The following is a 27,314-nucleotide window of genomic DNA, read 5'->3' on the forward strand; positions in this document are numbered from 1 at the left end:
GTACATCATAGGTTTGCTTACATTAATCAAATCCGGATATGTCTTAAGGTTAAGATTGTATCATCAGCCTCATTGACTACAGTAATTCCAGTTTACCTTTACCACCTGAGAAGCTATGAAACAGAAACATCATTTAGTGTTGTCAAAGTTTTAATTACTTAATAAACAAAACTGATTATTCGATCTGTATCCATCAACTTTTTTTTCTGTTTAGCAGAGGGACTTTTTGATCTAGTGAAATTTATAGAGATCCAGAAAGTTCTAGGAAAGCAAAATCTGGCAGAAAAAAAAATGGATGCACTGTCTTTATCATACCAGAACAGCCAGTTCTAGGTTATTGTTAAGCATGTGACCTTCCTAACACATGTTCCCAGGATGAGCAACGGCTTTGTTAATGTTCTATTAACCTGTTAATTCATTCACAGCACAGACTTCCAATTAGTAGTAGACTGTTAAAGTAGATGAGTAGAGTCTTTAAATATAGCATACTTGGTTATATTTTGCCAAATACTTTCCCCATTTTAAATGCACCACGATTGGTAGATGGGCAGCAATTACCATAGAATATGGATACTTTGAGTCTTATTGCTCTGCCCGAGCTGCTTCCACAGGAGCGCTCAACTATATTTTGACCACAAAACTACTTTTTTAAAAATGTCTTTTACATTTTTAGAAAATCTCTGTACTTGCCTTACCCTCACCTCCCACCACCCCTAGTATTATATATATGCAATACACACACACACGCACACACACAGGTCACTTATTTAGTGCTTGTTCAGTAGTGTAATTTTAAAATCTCTTTTACATTTTTAAAAAATCTCTGTACTTGCCTTACCCTCACCTCCCACCACCCCTAGTATTATATAAATACAATGTACACACACACACTAGTCACTTGCTTGTTCAGTAGTGTAATTACTTCTCTGAAAGTAAAGCCCTTTTCTTTACTCCTGGAAATATGCCAGGAAAATCACATGCTTTTGATAACAAATATTTCAGAAGCTGCCCTACTTTTGTAATATAACAGCATTTAGTCTGTTAAGCCAAGTTGCTGCTTGGCACCTCTTGGCACTGTTCTGCATCCCAAAAATATATGTCTGGCAATAAAAAATAATTGGAAGACAATATAAGTCTTTCTGGATGTCCCTCAAAGAACAGAAAAAAGAGGTTTATATTGTTAAGGCTTACCAAAACCTCAAACTTCTTTTTTGGACATTTCACTTCAAATAACTTTCCCATAGGTGGAGTGCTAAAAAATGTCTCTTCTTCTTCTCAAAACTTCCCATAAATCTCCCTCAGAACCCAAGTTGCCTAGTTTTCCTCTCACCTCATCTCACCCTTACTATGACTTGGCTCATTACTACACAGATCAACTTAGCATCTTTCAATACTTCAAACTCATTTTTCATGTTATGTACAACAAATGAAAACCTGATTTGACCCAGATAGCTATGTCTTCTATTCTTTTTGCAACACATAAAATTATCTCAGCTCCTTTTTATAAAAGGAAAGATCTTCCTCTTTCTTCTCTTTATGCTTACCTGTTCTTTAAATATTATGTCATTGATTTAAGTTAACTTACAATTCAATTTTTTTAATTTTTTACTTTAAGTAGAAAAACTTGCAAAAGTTTCAGACAATCATATGCAAGTGTCTTCCCAATAATGTCTTCTTTAAGAAAATGGTACAAAGATTTGGAAAAGATTTCTGGTGCCTCCACTTTTAAATGTTATTGCAAATTGCCATGTATGTTTTAGTCTGCATAGTTATTTACTGATGTCATAAGAATTTGAGTTAATTAGTCCATGCACTGGAAACTAATTAGAAAATAAATAAAATGTATTTAAATAACTTCTAATGAATTATTATTTAACTCTAAATAATGTTTATATGTTATTCATCCTTTCACAATACTTCAAAATTTACTCCCCACTTCTAATTGTTTTTGCTAATCATCTGTCTCAAACTTATCTTCTAACCCCAATCCTCAATGTTTTCTTACAAAATAGTTTAATTATTTAAAAGAAAACAATTTTTAAAGCTTGTATTTACCTCAAGGTACAAGTCAAAGCCAGGAAAAGCCTAAAAGACATTTTTTTTTTCTGAGTCTGGAAAACACTCCCTGAGCCCCTTAGGAACAGAGGGTGGTTCTGAGTTCACTCACTTCTCTCCCTGCTCCAAAAGAGATCTGACAGGTGTGAAGATCTTGGTAAGTCTGTAATCAAGCACAATTAACCAATAGTTTCCCCTGATGGGTTGTAGTATCTCCTCCCCAGTTATTCCATGAATTTTTTTGAATGAATAGCTGACCTAGAGACTAGGATAAACTCCCAAGAGCAGTGGCCATCAATTACTGAGCTCCATACCCAGAAGTAACTAGATAATAATTTAATGTTCTACCTCCAATTAAAGTAGTATGTATCTTCTTAAATATTTCCAGCAGATTTTTAATTTATCCATACTTATTATACATCTTGCACTGTGCTAGGCACTATACAATACATAGACTCTCGGTATTACTTATCATAGTGACTAACACTTATGGTCAAAAAATTTATCTAATCTTTAGATATTTAACCTGTATTTTTCTGTTTCTGGTATTAAAAACACTAAGCCATTCTCATTTATATGGTACAATGGTTGAACGAATTAAATACCTTCCACAGTGTGAACATTTAACTCCCTTGGTTAACCTTCTAATTTGAAAAAGAAGATTGAGGGTCATAGCTGAACTAGCTTTTGAATTTACCACTAATTTACACAGTCAACTTAGAGATGTTGATTTACCCATTCCCTCAGATCTTCATTGACATTAACGAGGACTTCAATAGATTAACATTCTGGATTAAATAGTGGGTGTTATTTTATTAGTAGACTTTTGCTTTAATAATGCTGCATAACAAATAACCCCCAAATCTCGGTGACTCACAACAAAAAATATATATTTATTTTTTATTCACAAGGCTGTGGTTCAGCTAAGGTGACTCTGTTCAGGCTATAGGTTGGTTTCTGGTCTCCTCCATATTTATTTCTGTTTCAAGACTCATACTGAAGGAGCTATCCCTTATTTGGGATATGACATTTTTATGGAAGATGATAGGAGCACAAGTGGCCAACCTATACTACATATTTAAGGCTTCTGCTCAGATTTCCACTCACTTTCCTTTCACCAATGGAAATCACTAGGGCCAAACCCAACATCAATAAAGCAGAGAAATATACACTTGTCCTACAAAGAGAAAGGAGAAGAAATATTTGCTGAGTCACAAAATGTATCACACTGGGCAACCCGACTTCAAATTTTTTTTTTGCAAGTATGCTTTCTTTTTGATTATGAGATATTTATTTTTATTTTATATATATATATATATTACTTTTTTTCGAGACCGAGTCTTGCTTAGTCACCCAGGCTGGAGTGCAGTGGCACGATCTCAGCTCACCGCAAGCTCTGTCTCCTGGGTTTAAGCAATTCTCCTGCTTCAGCCTCCCAAGTAACTGGGACTACAGGCACATGCCACCATGCCTGGCTATTTTTTGTATTTTTAGTAGAGACGGGGTTTCACCATGTTGGCCAGGCTGGTCTCAAACTCCTGGCCTCAAGTGAGCCACCCGCCTTGGCCTCCCAAAGTGCTGGTATTACAGGCATGAGCCACCACGCCTGGCTGATTATGAGATATTTCTACATCATGTCTGGATATACCACTGCAATGAATGCTCTTTATAACTATAGGATATTATTCTTTTCTTTTTCTTCTTTTTTCTTTTTCTTTTTTTTTTTTGAGGCGGAGTCTTGCTCTGTCGCCCAGGCTGGAGTCTAGTGGTGCGATCTCTGCTTACTGCAAGCTCCGCCTCCCGGGTTCATGCCATTTTCCTGCCTCAGCCTCCCGAGTAGCTGGGACTACAGGCACCCGCCACCACGCCCGGCTAATTTTTTTTTGTATTTTTAGTAGAGACGGGGTTTCACCACGTTAGCCAGGATGGTCTTGATCTCTTGACCTCGTGATCCACCTGCCTCGGCCTCCCAAAGTGCTGGGATTACAGGCGTGAGCTACTGCACCTGGCAGGATATTATACTCTTAAATAAAGTGACAATATACATTGATTTCTAAATCCCAGAACATTCTTTGTAAACACTATTACCTAATTATAAGCCGATGATTAAAAATTATATGAACCACCATTAAACATTTACAGCAATTGATATTCAGCTCAGTGGCCATTACTAGTTTGTTTAACCTTGTTTCATAGAATATATTAATTAATTTATGACTGTCAATTTGTATTGAATATACAAAATTTGATTCATCATAATTCACCTTAGTCACAAAGTGAAATGCGTGTGTATATATTACCTTCATTATAGAAGCCCATAAATATTTATTAGTTTATTTATTTTCTGTAACATCAACTTTAATAAATAGTTTTTTAACCACTTGAGGATAAGAAGACACTTTTTTCAATGTCATATAATCAATACAATAAAATTTCTCAATTGATTCTTAGTAGTATGTGTGTGCATGCATATATATAGAGAGAGAGAGAGACACAAACATACATATTTAAGTACATACACATAGATATTTAAGTAACTTGCCAAGAAACTAGGCCTCTCTCGCTCTCTCTACATCTCTCTGTCTCTCCCTCTCTCTCTCTCTTTTTCTGTTCTCATTTTATCTGTGAAAATTAACCATGTGAAAGGCGGCTCCAGATTTGGTTCTAAAGTTCTGTTTTGTAAACTCATAGACAGCAATTTTTCTATTGCCACTTCTGGACATTTTGTGAAAAATTAAGGGTTAGGCATTTGCACTTGGGAAAGCATGAGAACATTTACTCTCAAACTTATAACTAATTTTTTCATTTGTTGAATGAAGCCATTTCTGGATTGCTTTTCCCTAAATGTTAAAATCTGTCTTTACCTGTCCCTTAGGTCTACTACTGACAGAAATCAAAATAGAAGGGGATTCTCAATTTTGATGGTAAAATCTACACAAATATTTTCTATGCTGTTCTACAAGTTACTTTTTTTTTTACTATCATTATGATGTTGAGAACATCCTTCCATAACAATTCATACAGATTCACTATTTTTTCTAACTGTTGCATATTTTTATAAAAATTATTTTAAAAAGTCATCGTGTGTATATATTTAAAGAAGTTTGTAAGGTTGCACACCAAATTATTAATATTAGGGAAGAGAGAACATTATTTGCTATTTACATTTTATACTTCTATATTATTTGAATGTTTTTGTATAAATATTTTACCATTTGCCGATTACCTTTATAATTTTAAAATTAAAATAAAATAATAAAAGAAACGAAGATAGCCTGTAAGTAAAAATAAATTGAGTAAGATGATACAGTTGTCTACCCCAGCGTGTTTCATGAAGTCTAATAATGAGATAAATCAATTATGTATTTTTTTATTTTTCTAAGAAGGAAATTAATGCTGCAAATAAACAGAGTCACAAAGCACGGCTGGATGAACATTGATGGACGGACTTGCCTTTTTTATCTGTACTGTCTTTTGGAGTCATGTCTAGTGTAGGAGAGTCGGGGAATGCCTCTTACCTGCACAAAGTCAATAATGACTGAAATGTGTTCAAACAAAAAAATGTGAAACTATAATAATTTCTTGTCACATAATGGGCAACCAATATTTCTTTTTTGAATCCAAGAATACAATAAAAAATCACCACCACCAAGTTACTAAATAATGTTAGGTTTTTATTACAATTTGGGGAAAATACTTCATTTTTACAACATTTGTTTTGTTAGTATCATCTCATAAGAATACCTATTTTCCGTTTTCCTGTTGAGGACTTCATTTTTTTGTCATTGTTATATCTGCACAGGGAAACATTCTCAATTTATCATACTTTGACATATAAACACACTCATTAATTTTGCTCACTGACCTAAAATCAATATTCATAATAAAAGATGCAAGAATTTGATTGAGTTTTTGTGATGGTTAATACCAAGTGTCAACTTGACTGGATTGAAGGATACAAAGTATTGATCCTGGGTGTGTCTGTGAGGGTGTTGCCAAAGGAGATTAACATTTGAGTCAGTGGGCTGGGAAAGGCGGACCCACCCTTAATCTGGGTGGGCACAATCTAATTAGCTGCCAGTGTGGCTAGAATATAAGCAGGCAGAAAACTGTGAAAAGAGAGACTCGCCTAGCCTCCCAGCCTACATCTTTCTCCTGTGCTGAATGCTTCTTGCCCCTCGAACACTGGACTCCAAGTTCTTCAGTTCTGGAACTCAGACTAGCTCTCCTTGCTCCTCAGTCTGCAGACAGCCTACTGTGGGACCCTGTGGTCATGTGAGTTCATACTTAATAAACTCTCCTTTATGTGTATATGTATTCCATTAGTTCTGTCCCTCTAGAGAACACTGACTGATACAGTTATATAAGCACACCTTTTTTTAAAAGACATCCAATCCAATTCCTTCCTTAATAAAATAGTCACTTAACATAGAGATAGTCTCAGTGTTTCTAAAGGTTATATGCAAGAATATATGTAATTTTTAAGAATAGATAAATTCTGCTTCTGACATGAACTTAAGTCATTGAACAGCACTAAGCATATAATTAATTGAATGTTAGATTATACTAATCTGAAAAGTCAGAATTAATGTCATAGACAAAGGCTCCAACTATGAATAGAAATTAATTGTTCTAGAGAAAAAAAGAATTTGTCCCAATATTTCCCAATTGAGCTTTGTCTATAATTTAATGTTCAAAATCAATATGAACTTTTTCTAGCAGTCTGAGGACCCAAGGGGACAGGTGTCTATGGGGAAAGGAGGGGAATGTCTGGTTAAAAAAATGTAGGAAGCTACATAATACTTCATTGGGTATATGTATCACATTTTCTTTATCCAACCATCTGTTGATGCACACATAGGAGTACTATGCAGCCATTAAAAAAGAATGAGATCTTGTTGTTTGCAACAATATGGTAGGTCATTATGTTAAGTGAAATAAGTCTGTCACAGAAAGAAAAACTTCACATGCTATTACTTATTTGAGGGAGCTAAAAATCTAAACAATTAAACCCATGGAGATAGAGAGCAGAAGGATGGTTACCAGAGGACGGGAAAGGTAGTGGGAGGAGAAAGGGGATGATTAATGGGTATAAAATAAAAATAGTGAAAAAAATAAGTTTTGAATATTTGATAGCACAACAGGGTGACTATAGTCAATAATAATTTAATCGTACTTTGAAAATAACCAAAATAGTAGAATTGGAGTGCTTGAAACACAAAGGATAAATGCTCCAGGCGATGAATACCCCATTTTGCATGATGTGATTATTATGTATTACATGTCTGTATTAGGGTATCTCGTGTACTACATTAATATATACACCTAGTATGTACCCAAAAAATTAAAAATAAAAAAATATCGTGTAGGACACTAAGGCATCTTAACAGGTTAGATGTAGAAAGTGATTCTATCTATTCCATAAATACCTTTTCACTTTCTCTTTTACTACTAAAAGTAGTGGATCATGGAAGCCACTTGCAGAAAAAAAGAAAGATTCTTTATTCTGGATCTCCCACATTAACACTCTGCATTAGGAGACTGTCCTTTCTGCTCTCTATGCCCAAATTATCTTCCTTTTATATCAACAGCCAGAGATTAATGACCATTTACTTGCTATTAATGATGCATATATTTTGCCAGACATAGGGATGCAAAGGTTTGGAAGAACAGACATAGTCCTTGCTTTCATGGCATAGACATAGACATTGTAGCCAGTGAAACAAACATTAATTGTTTTACATTACACATATAAATGTGTGTAATTACAAACTGAGGTAAGTTGTTTAAAGGAAAGTTACTCAGTTATATAAAAATATATAACAAGAAACCTGACCTAGAATTGTGTGTATGTCTCAGAGGTGATGACGGTGGGGGGACTGTCAGGAAAGATATCCCTGAGGAAGCAACAAATCTGAGAGTGAATGAAAAAAAGAAGTAAACTTGATAAGGAGCTGTATGGGTAAGTGGGTGGGCATGGAGCATTTAAGGTGGAGGGAACATGTGCAAATACCCTATGGCAGATGGTAAAATGGCAGATTGGTGGTAGTACTGCAAAACAGCCAGAAGCGTAAGAGTATAGAGAGAAAGACAGTTCAAAATTGGTCTTTATAGGTAGGCAGGGCCAAACAATACAGGAACATGTCTTTGTTAAAGTTTTTGATATTTATTTTAAAAGCTGTGTGAAATAATTTAAGGATTTAAGTAGAATATGACACAATTATATATGTGGCTTAAAGTTTTTTGAGGGCTTTTACTTCCAAGAAGATAAAATGTTTTTTTCCATATTTTGTCCAGTAAGTACAACTAACAACACTGAAAATAGATACAACAACCAGTAAGATTCTGAAAAGTGGAGAGAGGAACGAAGATCAGTTAGGAACCTCAAGACCCGAGGAACAACACAGTGGTGAGCACCCTGAATTTTCTTATGCTTTTTATATCCTGAACTAGTTGCTGGAGGAACCAACAACTTGGAAATGCCAGCAGGTGCAGACATCAAAAGGATAAGAAGGGAATACTATGAACAACTCAACACAAATAAATTTGACAACTTAAATAAAGTTGACTGATTGGCTGAAAAAGTACGAAATACCACAGATTATTCAAAATAAAACAGATACTTGAAATAGTCCTATGTCTATTAAGAAATTTAATTTGTAACTTGAAAACCTCACAAAAATTATCTTTAGTCTGAAATAATTTCACTGACAAATTCTATCAGAAAATTGTAGCTGGACCCCTTCTTTACACCATATACAAAAATCAATTCAAGATGGACTAAAAACTTAAATGTAAAATCCCAAACTATGAAAAACCCTGAAAAACAACATAGGCAATACCATTCAGTACATAGGCACAGGAAAAGATTTCGTGACAGAGACACCAAAAACAATTGTAACAAAAGCAAAAATTGACAGATGGATTCTAATTAAACTAAAGCTTCTGCACAGCAAAAGCAACTATTAGCTGAGTAAATAGACAACCTATGGAATGGGAGAAAACCTTAGCAAACTATGCATTCAACAAAGGTCTAATATCCAGCATCTATAAGGAGCTTAAACAAATTAAAAAAAAAAAAAAAAACCATGTTAAAAAGTGGACAAAGGACACGAACAGACACTTTTCAAAAGAAGACATACATGTGGCCAACAAGCATATGAAAAAATGCTCAACATCACTGATTATTAGAGAAAGGCAAATGAAAACCATGGTGAGATATTATCTCACACCAGTCTGAATGGCTAGTATTAAAAAGTGAAAAAAAATAACTGATGCTTGTGAAATTGTGGAGAAAAGGAATGCTTATACTCTGTTGTTGAGTGTGTAAATTAGTTCAGCCATTGAGGAAGACACTGTGGCGATTCATCAAAGACCTAAAGACAGAAATACCACTAGACCTACAAATCTCATTACTAGGCATGTACCCAAAGGCATATAAATCATTTTATCATGCAGTAGTATGTTCACTGAAGCACTAGTCACTATAGCAAAGACATGGCATCAACCTAAATGTCCACCAGTGATAGACTGGATAATGAAAATGTGGTACATATACACCATGGAATACTATACAGCCATAAAAAACAAGATCATGTGCTTTGGAGCAACATGGAGGGACCTGGAGGCCATTATCCTTAGCAAACTAATGCAGGAATAGAAAACCAAATACTGCATGTTCTCTCTTATAAGTGGGAGCTAAGTGATGAGAACACCTTGGCATATAGAGGAGAACTACAGACACTGGGGCCTTTTGGAGGGTGGAAGGTGGCAGAAAGGAGAAGATCAGGAAAAATTACTAATGGGTACTAGGCTTAATAGCTGGGTGATGAAATAATATGTACAACAAAACACCATGAGACAAGTTTACCATGTGACAAACCTGCACTTGTATCCCTGAACTTTCAAAAAAATACATTACTGGAGTAAATTTTCTTCTGTACATTCCACCTCTTTGCATTTATATTTATAATTGACCATGCTGGTAGTTTATTTTTTGTTTTGTTTTTGGTAGCAAGGTTATGCTAATTCAAAAAAGCTTGCATAGCATTAGAATGATCTATTACAGTGTGAGAAAATATGGTTCATAAAAACTTTTGTGCCAGTCTCTTTTGTAGGAGATAACTATAATAATTTTTCCATTTTTTTTTTTTTTGGTCATTGGTGTATGAATATTTCCTGATTTTTCTTGAGCCAATTTTGGTCTTTTATATATTTTATGGAAACTTTTTACTATATCATATTTTGAATTTTTATAACAAGATTAATAAAAGTACCAGTAGCAAAATCTAAGATTCTCCTGCCACATACCCATCACCGTTAGCCTCACTACACATAAATAAACACCATTAAGAGTTTCTACTTTTAGTTCTTGTGGTTGTCTTCATACCGTAATATACTTTGCCTCTAGCCTTGATCTATCACCTCTACACAAGATCTGTTGACTTCTAATTTTGCTATGAAAGAGAGGAAATATAGCACACCTACATTGTGTTGTCTTTCTTAATTCCTCCCCTCGATTTTTGTTAGTTATATTACTATTTTAGCTCCTCAACCGGTTCCTTTTCTTTCTAAATACATTGGTTTCTGATAGGCAGCTATTATTTCCTACTATGAGCTTTTCTAAACTTATGTGTGTAGCACACACACAAACTCAATAATTTTAGGTACATGATAAAACAAGATTGACCACTAATGTTAAAATAAAAATAAAATTGCGGTTTAAAATATTTGTAACAATAACAATTACACTGATATATCCAGACTAGTAAGAGGGTATATTTAACTTGCAGCATTTCACCAAAGTATTTATATATGTCTTAGTAATTAATAGCCTGAGTGACATATCAAGTTACACGTCCAGTTTACTCAATAAAGTAAAAATTTTGTTTCTGTACATGAAGTTAGATTTGCCTGTATTAAAAAAAATTGAGTAGTATATTTAGCTACAGTGCTTTTAATATTACCTAACATTTGATGCCCAAATCTAAACATTCATAATTGAGACTAAAGTTTTACTATTTTTAAAGAAGTTTAAGAAAGTCCAATTTTCTTAAAGAAATGAAGGAAGTTTTCTGCCTTATGATTTTTAGTTCAAATTTTTCTAGATATTTCTGCATGTCTATGTCAGCAATGACAATTTTTTTATTTTTAAAAGGAGACAAAATTCAATTGTATAGAATTTTAAATTACCAACTTTTAAAAGCATAAAGCCTTCAAAGAGTGTACAGACATTTCATATTCATTTTTTCATCTGACCATCCAAATATCCCATAAAGTAGGTATAACAGATGTAATTCTTCCCATTTTATAGATGAAAAATTAATTTTACAATGAAACAGTGATTTGTCCAAAATCACAGTTAGTGGCAGAACAGAAAAAACTATTTTATCAATACTTTTTTTATCCCTGGTCCAGTGATTTTTCCATGTTAACATAGTAAGGAAAACAATATTCATAATGCACTTAATATTATGCCTGGCACATAGCAGGTACTCAATAAATAATGTCAAGTAATATTATTACTCAAAATTATAGCAGTTGATAATGTTTAAAAAAAAAAGAAGCCAAAACAGAAATATATCAAGATGGAAAGCCCAATGATATAATGTGCATTTCAAATGATTACAAAGATATAATATATACTTCAAATGATTAAGTTTTTAAACAACATACATGCAATATTTTATTATGGCATTATTCTGATATTTTGAGAGCTCCCAAACTATGTTGAAGCTCCTCATCTCTCCCTAAATGCCTTAAATCAAGGTTTTTGGGCCATGGAATTCTTCACACAGTCTGGCAAAATTTATGAACCCATTTTCAGAATAATATTTTTAAATGCATGAAATAAAATGCATGGGATTACAAAGGAAATAATTTATCTTGAAATCGTTATCAAAATACTGAAAAAATAATTTGCAATCAAATAACAAAATTTACCAGCAAGCGTAATAACTGTAATTTTGAAATAGCTGTGAATCTAAATGATATTTTAAAGCATTTTCAGTAACTGTAATATAATACGAAAATATTTGTAACTTTGGTAAGAAAAGGTCACGAGTATTGCTAAAATTATTTTGGTTTATTGCTTTATTCATTCACAGTAGAAAGAAACAATACATTTCAGGTAGAGATAAAAGAATATAAAAGATGGGTTTTTGTTTGTTTTTGTTTTTTGTTTGTTTTTGTTTGTTTTTTTGAGACGGAGTCTTCCTCTATCACCCAGGCTGGAGTGCAGTGGCACGATCTCGGCTCGCTGCAAGCTCTGCATCCTAGGTTCACACCATTCTCCTGCCTCAGCCTCCCGAGTAGCTGGGACTACAGGTGCCCACCACCACGCCTGGCTAATTTTTTCTTTTTTTTTATTTTTAGTAAAGACAGCATTTCACCATGTTACCAGGATGGTCTCGATCTCCTGACCTCGTGATCTGCCCGCCTCGGCCTCCCAAAGTGCTGGGATTGCAGGCGTGAGCCACCAAGCCTGGCCATAAGATGTATTTTTTAACTGTCCAAGGTCATGGGATCCCCTGAATTCTATTCATGATAGCATGTTTGAGCATCTGTGGACCCCAGTTTGTGAACTCCTGCCCCGAAACAAAACCTGCCAGTTATCAAGAACCACTCATTGACACAACAGTCAAAGTAAATATTCCTATTTTCTTGGTCTTAAATAGAAAATGCCAGTGCTTTTTTCCCCAACTTTTTTTTTTTTATTTTTAGAATAAGGTGTAACTGCCAAAACAAATGACATGGAAGAGACAGAACAAGATAAATAGAAAAATTGACTCAGAGAAAAGAGCGATATTCAGGGAACACAGAACATTAAACAATTTTTTTTTGTTATGGAAAAAACAACCAGGGATCAAGAAAGAACTCTTGGAAATAAAAAATCATGATTGCTGAACAATTGAAAAGATTTAAAGTGACACACCCATGATGTCTTTCCTTTCTTCTACATCCTCTTTACCGTCAGATTGGTGCTGAAAGAGGTCCTAGATCTCTTGGGCAAGTTTACAACTTACCTCTTTTGTCCTCTGCTTCCAGTGCAGTAAGTATTTCATGAAGAGGTAACTGAAAAACCTCATTTAGGCTTCCTTTCCTAAGCCAAGTACTCCAGCACAGTTTACCAGGGAGAATAGAGATATGAAGCTGGAGTTTTTTTAAGGATTTGCCCATTATTAATGAAGTAGTGCTTTTTTTTCACACTTGAGTTTTCTTTTCTGTACATCGAGCTTCTTTAGTCCAGCAGTTCTCAGTGGGGTTAATTTTGCTCACCCAGGAGACATTTGGCAATGTCTGGAGATATGTTCGGTTGTTATAATTTGGGGATATACTACTGGCATATAGATAAAGGTCAAGGATGCAGCTAAGGCACATTACAATGCACAGGACTGCCCCTCCTACAAAAAAAAATTATCTTGTCTGAAATGTCAATAGTGCTGAGGTTGAAAAATCTAACAGTCAAGCACTGTCAAGGAAGAAAGCAGAATTGGTAAAGCTGCCAAACTATATCCAAACCCCAAATGCTAGCCATTTTCCAATTTAAAATTCGTTTAAAATAAAGACATTTATTTCTTCTGGTGGCACATATACACCATGGAATACTATGTAGCCATAAAAAAGGATGAGTTCATGTCCTTTACAGGGACATGGATGAAGCTGGAAATCATCATCCTCAGCAAACTGTCACAAGGACAGAAAACCAAACACCACATGTTCTCACTCATAGGTGGGAATTGAACAATGAGAACACTTGGACACAGGGTGGGGAACATCACACACCGGGGCCTGTTGGGGGGTGAGGGGCTCGGGGAGGGATACCATTAGGAGAAATACCTAATGTAAATGACGAGTTGATGGGTGCAGCAAACCAACATGGCACATGTATACCTATGTAACAAGTCTGCATGCTGTGCACATGTACCCTAGAACTTAAAGTATAATTAAAAAAAAGATTTCAGAAATACATGTGAGTTATTTGAAAGACTGCTTTAGAACTGGCACATTGTAACTACTTAGCCAAGAGAGTAACACTAAAAGGACAACAATTATTGTATGCATTGAATTTTAAAAGAAATTATTACTATTCTTGAGGGAAGTCAAACAATGCCTCATTTAAGGTGTCAAATTATATCTTTCATGTATTATTAAAACAAAATACAGTGCAGCTTCTGTGTGGACAGAGTGGGTTTCACTCAACAGAACAAGAATTCTAAGAGCTCCTAAATGTGATCTGGGCTCAGAATCGTTATTTAGATTTGCTTTAATGCCATCTATACTGATTGCTGATAAGTTTTTTTTTTAAAAGGTAATTGCTTGTTTAGTTTGTATTGTCTTCTAATTTTAACACTTTATTTTATATATGTAAAAATTGGATTAGTTATGTAAGTACCTGCTATCTTACATTTATGAATTATTATTGTATTAGTCCATTCCCGGGCTGATGCAAGAGGTAGGTTCCCATGCTCTTGGGCAGCTCTGCCCACATGGCTTTGCAAGGTACAGCCTCCCTCTGGCTGCCTTGATGGCTGGCGTTGAGTGTCTGCGGCTTTTCCAGGTGCACGGTGCAAGCTGTCAGTGGATCTACCATTCTGGGGTCTGAAGGATGGTGGTCCTTTTCTCACAGCTCCACTAGGCAGTACTCCAGTAGGGACTCTGTGTGGGGACTCCAACCCCACATTTCCCTTCCGCACTGTCAGAGCAGAGGTTCTCCATGAGGGCCCTGCCCCTGCAGCAATCTTCTGCCTGGGTATCCAGGCATTTCCATACATCTTGTGAAATCTAGACGGAAGTTCCCAAACCACAATTCTTGACTTCTGTGCACTCGCAGGCTCAACACCACATGGAAGCTGCCAAGGCTTGGGGCTTGCACCCTCTGAAGCCATGACCCAAGCTCTACATTTGCTCCTTTCAGGCACAGCTGGAGCAGCTGTGATGCACAGCACCAAGTCCCTAGGCTGCACAAGCAGGGAGACCCTGGGCCCAGCCCAGGAGACCACTTTTTCTTCCTAGGCCTCCAGGCCTGTAATGGGAGGGGCTGCTGTGAAGACCTCTGACATGCCCTGGAGACATTTTCCCCATTGTCTTGAGGATTACTATTTGGCTCCTTGTTACTTATGCAGATTTCTGTAGCCCACTTGAATTTCTCCTCAGAAAATGGGATTTTCTTTTCTATAGCATTGTCAGGTTGCAAATTTTCCAAACTTTTTATGCTGTTTCCCTTTTAAAACTGAATGCTTTAAACAGCACACAAGTCACCTCTTGATTGCTTTGATGCTTAGATATTTCTTCCCCCGATACCCTAAATCAGCTCTCTCAAGTACAAAGGTCCACAAATCTTTAGGAGAAGGGCAAAATGCTGCCAGTCTCTTTGCTAAAACATAATGAGAGTCACCTTTTTTCCAGTTACCAACAAGTTCCTCATCTCCATCTGAGATCACCTCAGCCTGGATTTCATTGTCCACATCATTATCAGCATTTTGTTGAAAGCCATTTAACAAGTCTCTAGGGAGACATCTAAAAGAAGGCTTGCAAAACACATGTAAAAATTACATTGCATTAAAAGAGTAATAGGTCCATAATTTAACTTAATTCACACACTCAAAAAATATTTTTCAAATTCATATATGTGGCAGATACTCCTCTAGGTGCTGGGAATACAGTGGCAAACAAAACAAAGTCCCTGATCTTAAGCTCTCAGATTTAAGTTTTAAAAGAGGAAAGATACAATAAGCAAGTACTTATATATAAAGATATAATGATAAAGATATAAAGATACAATAAGCATATAAATAAATATATGATTTCAGGGAGTGATGTATGCTAACTTTTAAAATCTGATGTTCTGCTTCCTAAATTAGACACTCTGGTGCTAATAGCCTTCAAATTGAAAATGGTAAGGAACTTTCTAGTGGTAAGGAATACTCTTATTAAAACTATCTGGGGTATCTTTAGTCCTTCATAACCAACACTCAAAATGCTATTCCACCAGAAGTACTATGTGCAGCTACTGTCCCAAATTCTGCTCTCACAATTGCCCATTAAAGAAAATATAACCTACTGATTCACACTCCTTTATTGATGGTAGGTAATGGCTTTGTATGTTACCTCTTCCAGAATTACATTTTAAAGTATCTAGCATCTTAACCCCAAATGAATAAATACTGCAAGTCCTTTCGCTCTCCTTTCCCTAATCCCTCATTTTATCTCTTGCTCACCTTTGAGCACATACAAAATCCACACCTTAAAAACCACTTATTCAGGGATAGTTGGGTAAACATGAAAGATGGAGACATGACTGACTTCTTATTTCTGGTTTCTGCCCTTCATTTTTGCTCAGAATAATGTCTCAGTTAATATATGAGGCCTATGGTCTGTGATCTAAAAAGTTTGTCAGTTTTTTAAATTGCCTTTATTCACAAATATGACTTTTCTTCAGTGTCTACATATTACATCACATGTTCTATTTACACTGCTGCAATATAGATTAAAAATCTTGTGGCATAGGGGTAGGTGAGTGTTAGTATCTCCTCTGTGCCATTTGCTCTGTTACTGCTTTATTGGACTGATCTACCCTCATGAACTTGCAATCACCTAAATGGAAGTTTTGAATGTTTAACCTTTGCTTGGTTATTTCAACCATGCTGCTATATATAATCAGGTGTGGCACAGTTTGTCAGTTTGATTCCAGGTGTGAGTGGATAGAAATCATTTCATTGTGCTGTTAACGATCCTTGTCTGCTTGCTGTTACCTACTTTTTACAGGCATCATAATAAAAGCTAGACTATTTCTTTGGGGGAAAAGAAACTTATTTAATGTAATTTAAAAAACTTTTCCAATAGAAAATGAAATACTATTGAAAATAATATCCATTTTTTAACTTTCGGCAATTCATGGTGCTTTCTGGTGGTGTCTGCTTGAAGTCTACTGCCATTATAGGGAACCTTGCCTGGTACCTTCTCTAGATCTTTATTCTAAACAATCGGTTAGTAATGATAAATTCTGTAGGAGGGTCTATTCCGAGCCGTTAGCTTCCTTTAAGGGGAAACTGGGTGGGTTGTCAGAAATACCACTGAAGCAGGGTGGGCTGTGGGTGGAGGGTTGGGGTACTTGTCTTGAGAATTAAAAACTATGAAACACTTTTGTACACAAGTGATTTTTTAAAAAATAAATACATTTTTAAAGATGTTGAATTTTTCCCCACTTATTGGTAATTCTTAAAAATAAATGCATGCGTGTTTTTCCCTGAAAAAAAAAAGAAAGTTTGTCAGTTTTTATGCAACTACATTCTTGGAAAATATTCTACATATACTTCCATCTTTTGTCAACCTCATAAATGTATGCAACTATTATGTATTCCTAATAATTAAAAATGAAAATATTTAAACATTTTACAGTTGTCTAAGATGATTCTTAAGTTTCCTAGGTATCAAGGTGATAACTGATATAAAAAGAACAACCATTTTTTAACTCACAATAACTTCATATATTGCAGTTTATTTTTGTTGCATTATACTTACAAATTCAATCAGGTTTTAAGAAAAATGAAGTCAGATCATTTAGTCAAAATAAGACTAAATTTTCTAGAGTCATTAGTAAGATTCTGCATGATAAATAGATGGATTTCTATATACTTGAGTGGAAAATACCAAGTATTTAGTTTTTTTAGGGTTATAATTCATCTCTTGCTTTTGAAATTTCTTGGAATATTGACTGACTTCATTCTTCCTTGGGTTTTTTGGCCTATCACTGTAGGCCCCTTTACTGCTGAGAGGAAAAAGTGAATAGGCTAACGTGAAAACAGCTTATGCACAGTCAAACACATTCAACACAATTGACTTCAAAGCAACTGTATTTATTTTGATTTTGTGGGGTTTTTTTGTTTGAAAAGTGAATTAACTAAATATTTCTGCTAATATTAAACTCATTAGGTTGAGCATTTTTTCTTTTATATCAAATGAATTTAAAGATGATTATTTGTGTGGAATTTTTCTTGAAAGAGGTTAAAATAGGAGCAGAATTTGAGCCATCTGTTGGATAATATTTGAAAAACTAGTAAAAGTCTGTTAGAATGATACATTACCAATAGACAAGTAAGCCTTCTATTGCCACTCCTTTTCAGCATAGTATTGGAAGTCCCAGCCAGAGCAATCAGGCAGGAGAAAGAAATAATGGTATCCAAATAGGAAGGGAGGAAGTCAAACTGTCTCTGTTTGCAGATGACATGATTCTACATCTAGAAAACCCTAAAGTCTTGGCCCAAAAGCTTCTCCAGCTGATAAGCAACTTCAGCAAAGTTTCTAGAACACAAAATCAATGTACCAAAATCACTAGCAGTCCTATACACCAACAACAACCAAGTCAAGGGCCAAATTAGAAAGGGAATCCTATTCACAGTTGCCACAAAAAGAATAAAATACTTAACAATACAGCTAACCAAGGAGGTGAATGATCACTACAAAGAGAATTACAAAACACTGCCCAAAGAAACGGCCATACTGCCCAAAGGAAATTAAAGATTCAATGCTATTCCCATCAAACTATCAATGACATTCTTCACAGAACTAGAAAAAACTATTTTAAAATTCATATGGTACCAAAAAGAGCCCAAATAGCCAAGGCAATCCTAAGAAAAAGAAAACAAAGCTGGAGGCATCATAGTACCTGACTTCAAACTATACTACAAGGCTACAGTAACCCACACAGCATGGCACTAGCACAAAAGCAGGCACATAGACCAACAGAACAGAATAGAGATCCCAGAAACAAGGCTGCACACCTACAACTACCTAATCTTTGACAAAGCTGACAAAATCAAGCAATGAGGAAAAGACTCCCTATTGAATAAATGGTGCTGGGATCACTGGCTAACCATATGCAGAAGAATGAAGTTGGACCCCTTCCTTACACCATACACAAAAATCAACTCAAGATGGATTAAAGACTTAAGTGTAAAACCCAAAACTATAAAAACCCTAAAAGAAAACCTAGGCAATACCATTCCAAACATAGGAAAGGGCAAATTATTCATGACAAAGGCAACAAAAGCAATCACAACAAAAGCAAAAATTGACAAATGGGATCTAATTAAATGTAACAGCTTCTCTAAAGCAAAGGAAACTGTCAACAGAATAAACAGACAACCTATAGAATGAGAGAAGATTTTTGCAAACTATGCATCTGATAAAGGTCTAATTTACAGCATCTATAAGGAACTTATACAAATTTATAAGAAAAAACAAGCGACCCTATAAAAAAGTGGATGAAAGACGTGAACAGAAACTTTTCTAAAGAAGACATTCAAGTGGCCAACAAGCATTTGAGAAAAAGCTCAATATCCCTGATAATTAGAGAAATGCAAATCAAAGCCACAGTGAGATGACATCTCACTGTCCAAATGGCTATTATTAAAAAGTCAAAAAATAACAGATGCTGGTGAGGTTGTGGAGAAAAGGGAACACTTATACACCCTTGGTGGAAGTGTAAATTAGTTCAACCATTGAGAAAAGCAGTATGGAGAGTCCTCAAAAAGCTAAAATCAGAACTACCATTTGACCCAGCATTCGCATTACTGGGTATATACCTAGAGGAATATAAATTATTCTACCATAAAGACACATGCATGTGAATGTTCACTGCAGCACTATTCTCAATAGCAAAGACATGGAATGGACCTAAATGCCCATCAATGACAGATTGGATAAAGAAAATGTGGTACATATACACCATGGAATACTATACAGTCACAAAAAAGAACAACATAATGTCTTTGCAGGAACATGGATGGAGCTGGAGGGTATTGTCCTTAGCAAACCAACACAGAAACAGAAAACTAAATGCTGCATGTTCTCACTTATAAGTGGGAGCTAAATGATAAGAACTTATGAACACAAAGAAGGAAAACAACATACATTGGCATCTGCTTGAAGGTGGAGGATGAGAGGGGGAGGAACAGAATAGATAACTATTGGGCTTAATTCCTGGGTGATGAAATAATCTGTACAACAATTTCTTGTGACATGATTTTACCTATGTAACAAATCTTCACATGTACCTCGAACCTAAAATAAAAGTTAAAAAAAAAAAGAAAAGTTACCAATAAAATGAAGTTTTACTAAAGAGAAAAACGATTGGCTTTTTCTGACACAGGTCCTTTCTGAGTGAAATTTGGAAGTTGGTAAGGTTATATTTAGTATTTAAGCATTGCAATATTTTATTCCTTGGTGAAACTTTATCTCCCCACCCTCTTCATGTACACTGACAGTACTCATGATACATTCTTGCACTGATTAAAACCAGATCCGAGGAGTAAATATTATAGGTTTATCACACATAACTGGCAAAATTTAATATATTTCATTTGCCAGTTAGATTTGCATTTCCTTGAAAGACAAAATTTCAAACCAAAGGAATGAATTTTGAATTCAAAATCAGAAGCTTGGCATCAATAAACCAAGGCATTTTGGGAAGGTATTTTGTTGGGCCACTATATAAAGCCAGTCATTTTTAGTTTGGAAACATGAAAGACTGATATGCCAATGAACAATGACCAGACAATATATGAAAACAGAACTCTGATCCACAACCCCTGCAGCAATCTGTCCAGGAAGACAAATCACAGCCTCTGCAGCAATTGGTCCAGATGATTCAGGACTTAAGTCAATAACTGCCAACTTCTCTAATTTTTGTCCCCTTTTCCAACTCAGAACTAACCTTAGAGAGCCAAATATGTTTCTCAAACCAATCACATTGTTGTGGGAAGTCAGGGACCCGGAATGAAGGCACCGGCTGGAGCTGCAGCAGAGGAACATGAATTGTGAAGATTTCATGGACATTTAACAGTTCCCAAATAATACTTTCATAATTTCTTACGCCTGTCTTACTTTAATCTCTTAATCCTGTTATCTTTGTAAGCTGAGAATGTATGGCACCTCAGGACCACTATTGTGTTAACTGTACAAATTGATTGCAAAACATGTGTGTTTGAACAAGATGAAATCAGTGCACCTTGAAAAAGAACAGAGTAACAGAAATTTTAGGGAACAAGGGAAGGCAACCATAGGTCTGACTGCCTGCGGGGTCAGGCAGAATAGAGCCATATTTTTCTTCTTGCAGAGAGCCTATAAACGGATGTGCAAGTGGGGAAGATATTGCTAAATACTTTTTCTAGCAAGGAATATTAATAATTAAGAACCTGGGAAAGGAATGCATTCTTGGGGGAAGGTCTATAAAGGGCTGCTCTGGGAGTGCCTGTCTTATGCAGTTGAGATAAGGACTGAAATACGCCCTGGTCTCCTGCAGTACCCTCAGGCTTACTAGGATTGGGAACTCCACCCTGGTGAATTTGAGGTCAGACTGGTTCTTTGCTCTCAAACCCTGTTTTCTGTTCTTTAAGATGTTTATCAAGACAATATGTGCACAGCTGAATATAGACCCTTATCAGTAGTTCTGAATTTGCCCTTGTCCTGTTTCCTCAGAAGCATGTGATATTTGTTCTCTTTTTTGCCCTTTGAAGCATGTGATCTTGTGATCTACTCCCTGTTCTTGCACCCCCTCCCCTTTTGAAAGCTTAATGAAACTTGCTGGCTTTAAGGCTCAGGTGGGCATCATGGTCCTATTGATATGTGATGACACCCTTGGCGGCCCAGCTGTAAAATTCCTCTCTTTGTACTCTTTCTCTTTATTTCTCAGACCGGCTGATAGTTAGGGAAAATAGAAAGAACTTATGTTGAAATATTGGGGCTGGGTTCCCCCGATATCACATAGAATGTCCTGCTTCTAACTAGCCTGCCTCTAGCTTCCCCATGCCTTCAACCTGCGATCATAGCATACTTTATTGCTCCACTTTTTCACTATAAAGCTTTTCTGCTCTCCTGCCTCTCTCCCAAATGTAAGTGACGGTGGCTGACTCCCTTGCTATAGCAAGCTCTGAATAAAAATAACCTTGGCTTGTCATTTCGGTGGTCTTCATTTCTTTCTACAATCCTGTTACATAGATATTTTGGAGCCAAGATTTTTAACTGGTTATGTAAATTATAATCAACTAAGAAGCTTAAAAAGTACAGATGACAGGCCAGGCCATGGTGGCTCATGTCTGCAATCCCAGAACTTTGGGAGGCCGAGGTGGGTGGATCACCTGAAGTCAGCAGTTCCAGACCAGCCTGGCCAAAATGGCAAAACCCTGTCTCTACTAAAAACAAAAAAATTAGCTCGGCATGGTGGCGCACTTGTAATCCCATTTAGTCGGGAGGCTGAGAGAGGAGAATTGCTTGAAGCCTGGAGGCGAAGGTTGCAGTGAGCCAAGACCGTGCCACTGCACTCCAGCCTGGGCAACAGAGTGAGACTCCATCCCATCACATGCCACCCACTCCACAAAAAAAAAAAAAAAGACAGATGAGCAAGCATCACTCAAGTCCAGCTGTCATCAAGAAAACATATTGGGTTTTGTGTTGTATTCAGAACAGAAATAGCTGAGAGCAAAAAGGCATTTCCAGAAGTATTCCCAGCTATCAAGTTCCCTAATGTGTAAAATTCAAAATTTCTCAGCAATATTAGAGGGAGTGCTTGCAAATATTAAAGATGTATTACTCTAATCACTAATAGTATATAGTTTACCTAACTATCCCTCCTTTGAAGACTACCTGGGTTATTCAAGTTAATGTGGCACAGGAAGAGCCAAAAGTCAATGTGAATAAAACAATGATAGTTTTATTTTGCCAGCAAGGCAAGTCCACAAATAATCTAGTGTATCTGTGACATATACTTGTATACGAAAACTCTTTTCCTCTGTTTTTGCTTCCCAGCTTTGTCTTCATTTGTTTTTAATGGAATCAGGCAAATTTACAGATGGTAAATCATAAAAATAATTTTAATAAATGATTGAGTGGTTTATTGTCTCTCACAAATCACTTCATTCCCTGAAACTAAGACTGAAAATATCCACAACTAAGGAAAGTTTTGGAAGAAATTTCAGGCAAACAAGTAATATTTTTTTCACTTCAATGATGTCATACACTTCCATTGAAAATACAGAAAGAGGAAATTGAGACAATGTCTGGGTGTGCAGTGTGAATGCTAGAATGAAAGTGTAAGGGTTGGTGTTTGTTGCCCAAGTCATGGTAGGGATATGAATGGTGTGGTATATTAGGGATGGAACTGAAGAAATTGGGAGTTTAAAAATAGTGCTAATCCTGTGCCAGAAGAGAAAGTTCTAATTGCTTCCTGAATGTAAATATCTTGGAGGCAAAGAGGACATTAACTGTGATAAAGGGTAAACACCAGAAGAGTGTGGGGTATCAGGAAGAAAAAGTGCACAGTTTTCCAGCTCTAAAATAAGTCTTTCCAACATATTGAAACTACACTTTATAATCTCCTTGAGAGAAAGGAATATGCCACATTATCTTGGATTTAGAATACTTTCTAAATACCCTTTTTATATACATTAAATACTCCTATGCAATTTCTAGATAGGCTGATAATTAGGAGTGCTTGATGTATATCAGTCATCCAGGTATGGATCAAACTAGTGAGAAAATATGCAAATATTTTAACATATTTGTAAAATTTTTATTTTGGTATTTTTAAAATTATAAATTATAAAGAAGGCATGTGACGATTCAAAACCATGGATTAAAGGTACCATCTGACATTTTAAAAGCATATGTAAAATCAAATCCACTAGAGCTTTACTGTCCTTAGAATCCATGCCCTGAATTGACAAAAATAGAGGACACTATTTCATAATAAGGTCCTTTTGATAACTTTATTACCTACATTCCTCAAAATGGCATTCCTGATTGCCTAGAATATAGAGAATACCAGTAAACAATGTTTACAGTGAGATTCTAATACATAAATATGATCTATTCTATGACTATTTTGGAGTCTAAAAAGCTTTTTGAAATACCAAGCTATCCATAGAAACACTCAAATACTTTTCACTTACATAAAATTACTCATTGCATCTTATTTAATATCTCCAAATGCAAAATTTTGGAGGTCTTTTCCCCTCCATTTAGTTTCTTTTGTGTTTGCAGTTGAAATCTACACGATTTCTTCCATTCTCTCTCTCTCTCTCTCTTTATATATATATACACACACATATATATGTACACATATATACATATGTATATTTGCTTTCTGAGATACAAACTAATCGAAGACATTTATCTCTTGAAAAACCAGATTAAGAGTAGCAATAGCAGATAAAAATTAAAATATTCACTGGTTAATCAAGTTTTCTCATAATCCTGAAAGCACTGGACAGAGTATCGTTTGTGAAGGTATTCTGAATACTAATTTAGTACACTATTTGCATTCAAGTAGAGAATATTTGAAAAACCACAGCATTATCTAGGAATCTATGGAAATTTGAAGAAGTTTCAGGCCTTGCTCAGATTATCTCTGACCTGCAAACATAGACTCTTTCTCTCTCATATTCAGTAATTCTAACAGTTATGTTTATAATTAAAAAATAAAAATGTACTCAAAATTCTTTTCAACTCATATTCAGCTTATAGGCTGGAGATTGATTTTAAAGAAACTGGACATTGTTTTTGCGTGTTAGAGCAATTTGAGAAAATATTGATTTCACTTTATAAGGCTTGAATGCTTGTATATATGACTCAGAATTGGACACCAAGGTTCCTAGCATTTAAAATTTTCTATTCTCCTTTGTTTATGTTCCAGTTATTGAAATATTCTTAATGTAGGTTATTTTATACTTCTATTCTCCTTTATGTTCCAGTTATTGAAATATTCTTAATTTATGTTACTTTGTATTTAACATTTCCATGCTTATATTGCTTTATTGTCACTAGTGTGGATGAAAAGAGTCAAAGTGTAAAATATTTGAAGAGATTTATTCTGAACCAAATATGAGTGACCATGGCCCATGACACAGCCCTCAGGAGGTCCTGAGAACACATGCCCAAGGTGGTCAGGGTGAAGCTTAGTTTTATACATTTTAGGGAGGCATGAGATATCAATCAAGTACATTTAAGAAATACATTGGTTTGGTTCAGAAAGGCAGGACAGCTCAAAGCAGGGGGGCTTCTAGGCTATAGATGAATTTAAACATTTTTTGTTTGACAATTGGCTGAGTTTGTCTAAGGACCTGGTATCAATAAAAAGAAAATGTCTAGGTTAAGATAAAAGGTTGTGGAGACCAAAGTTTTGTCGTGCAGATGAAGCCTCCAGGTACCAGGCTTCAGAGAGAATAGGCTGTAAAATGATTCTTATCAGACTTAAAGTCTGTGTTGACCTTAATGCCAGAGAGGCATAATGAGGCATGTTTGACCCCTACTTCCCATGATGGCCTAAAACAGTCCCTCAGATTAAATTTTAAGAGCCCTGGCTGACGAGGAAATCCATCAGCATTGTTAGGGGGAGGTTAGAATTTTATTTTTGGTTTATGTCTTCCCCTTTCTGGCCAAGATTTGCCAGAGGCAACATCAAAGGCCAGCAAATTTTTATTTTGTCTCATAGCATTGCCAGGGTGGCACTGTGTCCGGAATTGGTGGGTTCTTGGTCTCACTGACTTCAAGAATGAAGCCGCGGACCCTCGCGGTGAGTGTTACAGCTCTTAAGGTGGCGCGTCTGGAGTTTGTTCCTTCTGATGTTCGGATGTGTTCGGAGTTTCTTCCTTCTGGTGGGTTTGTGGTCTCGCTGGCTCAGGAGTGAAGCTGCAGACCTTCGCGGTGAATGTTACAGCTCTTAAGGCGGCGCGTCTGGAGTTGTTCGTTCCTCTCGGTGGGTTCGTGGTCTCACTGGCTTCAGGATTGAAGCTGCAGACCTTTGCAGTGAGTGCTACAGCTCATAAAGGCAGTGTGGACCCAAAGACTGAACAGCAGCAAGATTTATTGCAAAGAGCGAAAGAACAAAGCTTCCACAGTGCGGAAGGGGACCCGAGCAGGTTGCCACTGCTGGCTCCCGCAGCCTGCTTTTATTCTCTTATCTGGCCCCACTCACATCCTGCTCATTGGTAGAGCCCAGTGGTCTGTTTTGACAGGGCGCTGATTGGTGCATTTACAATCCCTGAGCTAGACACAAAGGTTCTCCACCTCCCCACCAGATTAGCTAGATACAGAGTGTGGACACAAAAGTTCTCCAAGTCCCCACCAGAGTAGCTAGATACAGAGTGTCAACTGGTGTATTTACAAACCCTGAGCTAGACACAGGGTGCTGATTGGTGTGTTTACAAACCTTGAGCTAGAGACAGAGTGCCAATTGATGTATTTACAATCCCTTAGCTAGACACAAAGGTTCTCCAAGTCCCCACCAGAGTAGCTAGATACAGAGTGTCAACCGGTGTATTTACAAACCCTGAGCTAGACACAGGGTGCTGATTGGTGTGTTTACAAACCTTGAGCTAGAGACAGAGTGCCAATTGGTGTATTTACAATCCCTTAGCTAGACACAAAGGTTCTCCAAGTCCCCATCAGACTCAGAAGCCCAGTTGGCTTCACCCAGTGGATCCTGCACCGGGCCGCAGGTGGAGCTGCCTGCCAGTCCCGCGCCGTGCACCCTCACTCCTCAGCCCTTGGGTGGTCGATGGGACTGGGTGCTGTGGAGCAGGGGATGGCGCTCCTCGGGGAGGCTTGGGCAGCACAGGAGCCCACGGAGTGGGGGGTGGGAGGCTCAGGCATGGCGGGCTGCAGGTCCCAAGCCCTGCCCCATGGGAAGGCAGCTAAGGCCCGGTGAGAAATTCAGCACAGCAGCTGCTGGCCTAGGTGCTAAGCCCCTCACTGCCTGGCCGCGCAGGGCCACCTGGCTGCTCCAAGGCGGGGCCCGCCAAGCCCACACCCACCTGGAACTACCGTGGCCCGCCAGCAGCCCACGCAGCCCTGGTTCCCGCCCGCACCTCTCCCTCCACACCTGCCCGCAAGCTGAGGGAGCCGGCTCCGGCCTCAGCCAGCCCATGAAGGGGCTCCCACAGTGCAGCGGCGGGCTGAAGGGCTCCTCAAGTGCCGCCAAAGTGGGAGCCCAGGCAGAGGAGGCACCGAGAGCAAGCGAGGGCTGCGAGGACTGCCAGCACGCTGTCACCTCTCAGCATGGCTGCCTGCCCTGGGTCTATCCTGTCCCTTGGTGGGGCTCCCTGAGGCATAGGGCCTTAAGAGTCAAAACACTTACAGCCAATTAACTGTTCTAGGCCAGATAGGAATAGATGTGGACAGGCATTCATTACCTCTTCAAGTTATTATTTTAAGTAAAAAGCCAACAAACAAAACAAAAAGGCAAATTTATAAGACTGATTTAT

This window comes from Homo sapiens, chromosome X (genome assembly GCF_000001405.40).
Source record: "Homo sapiens chromosome X, GRCh38.p14 Primary Assembly".
In the NCBI taxonomy this organism is placed as follows: domain Eukaryota; kingdom Metazoa; phylum Chordata; class Mammalia; order Primates; family Hominidae; genus Homo; species Homo sapiens.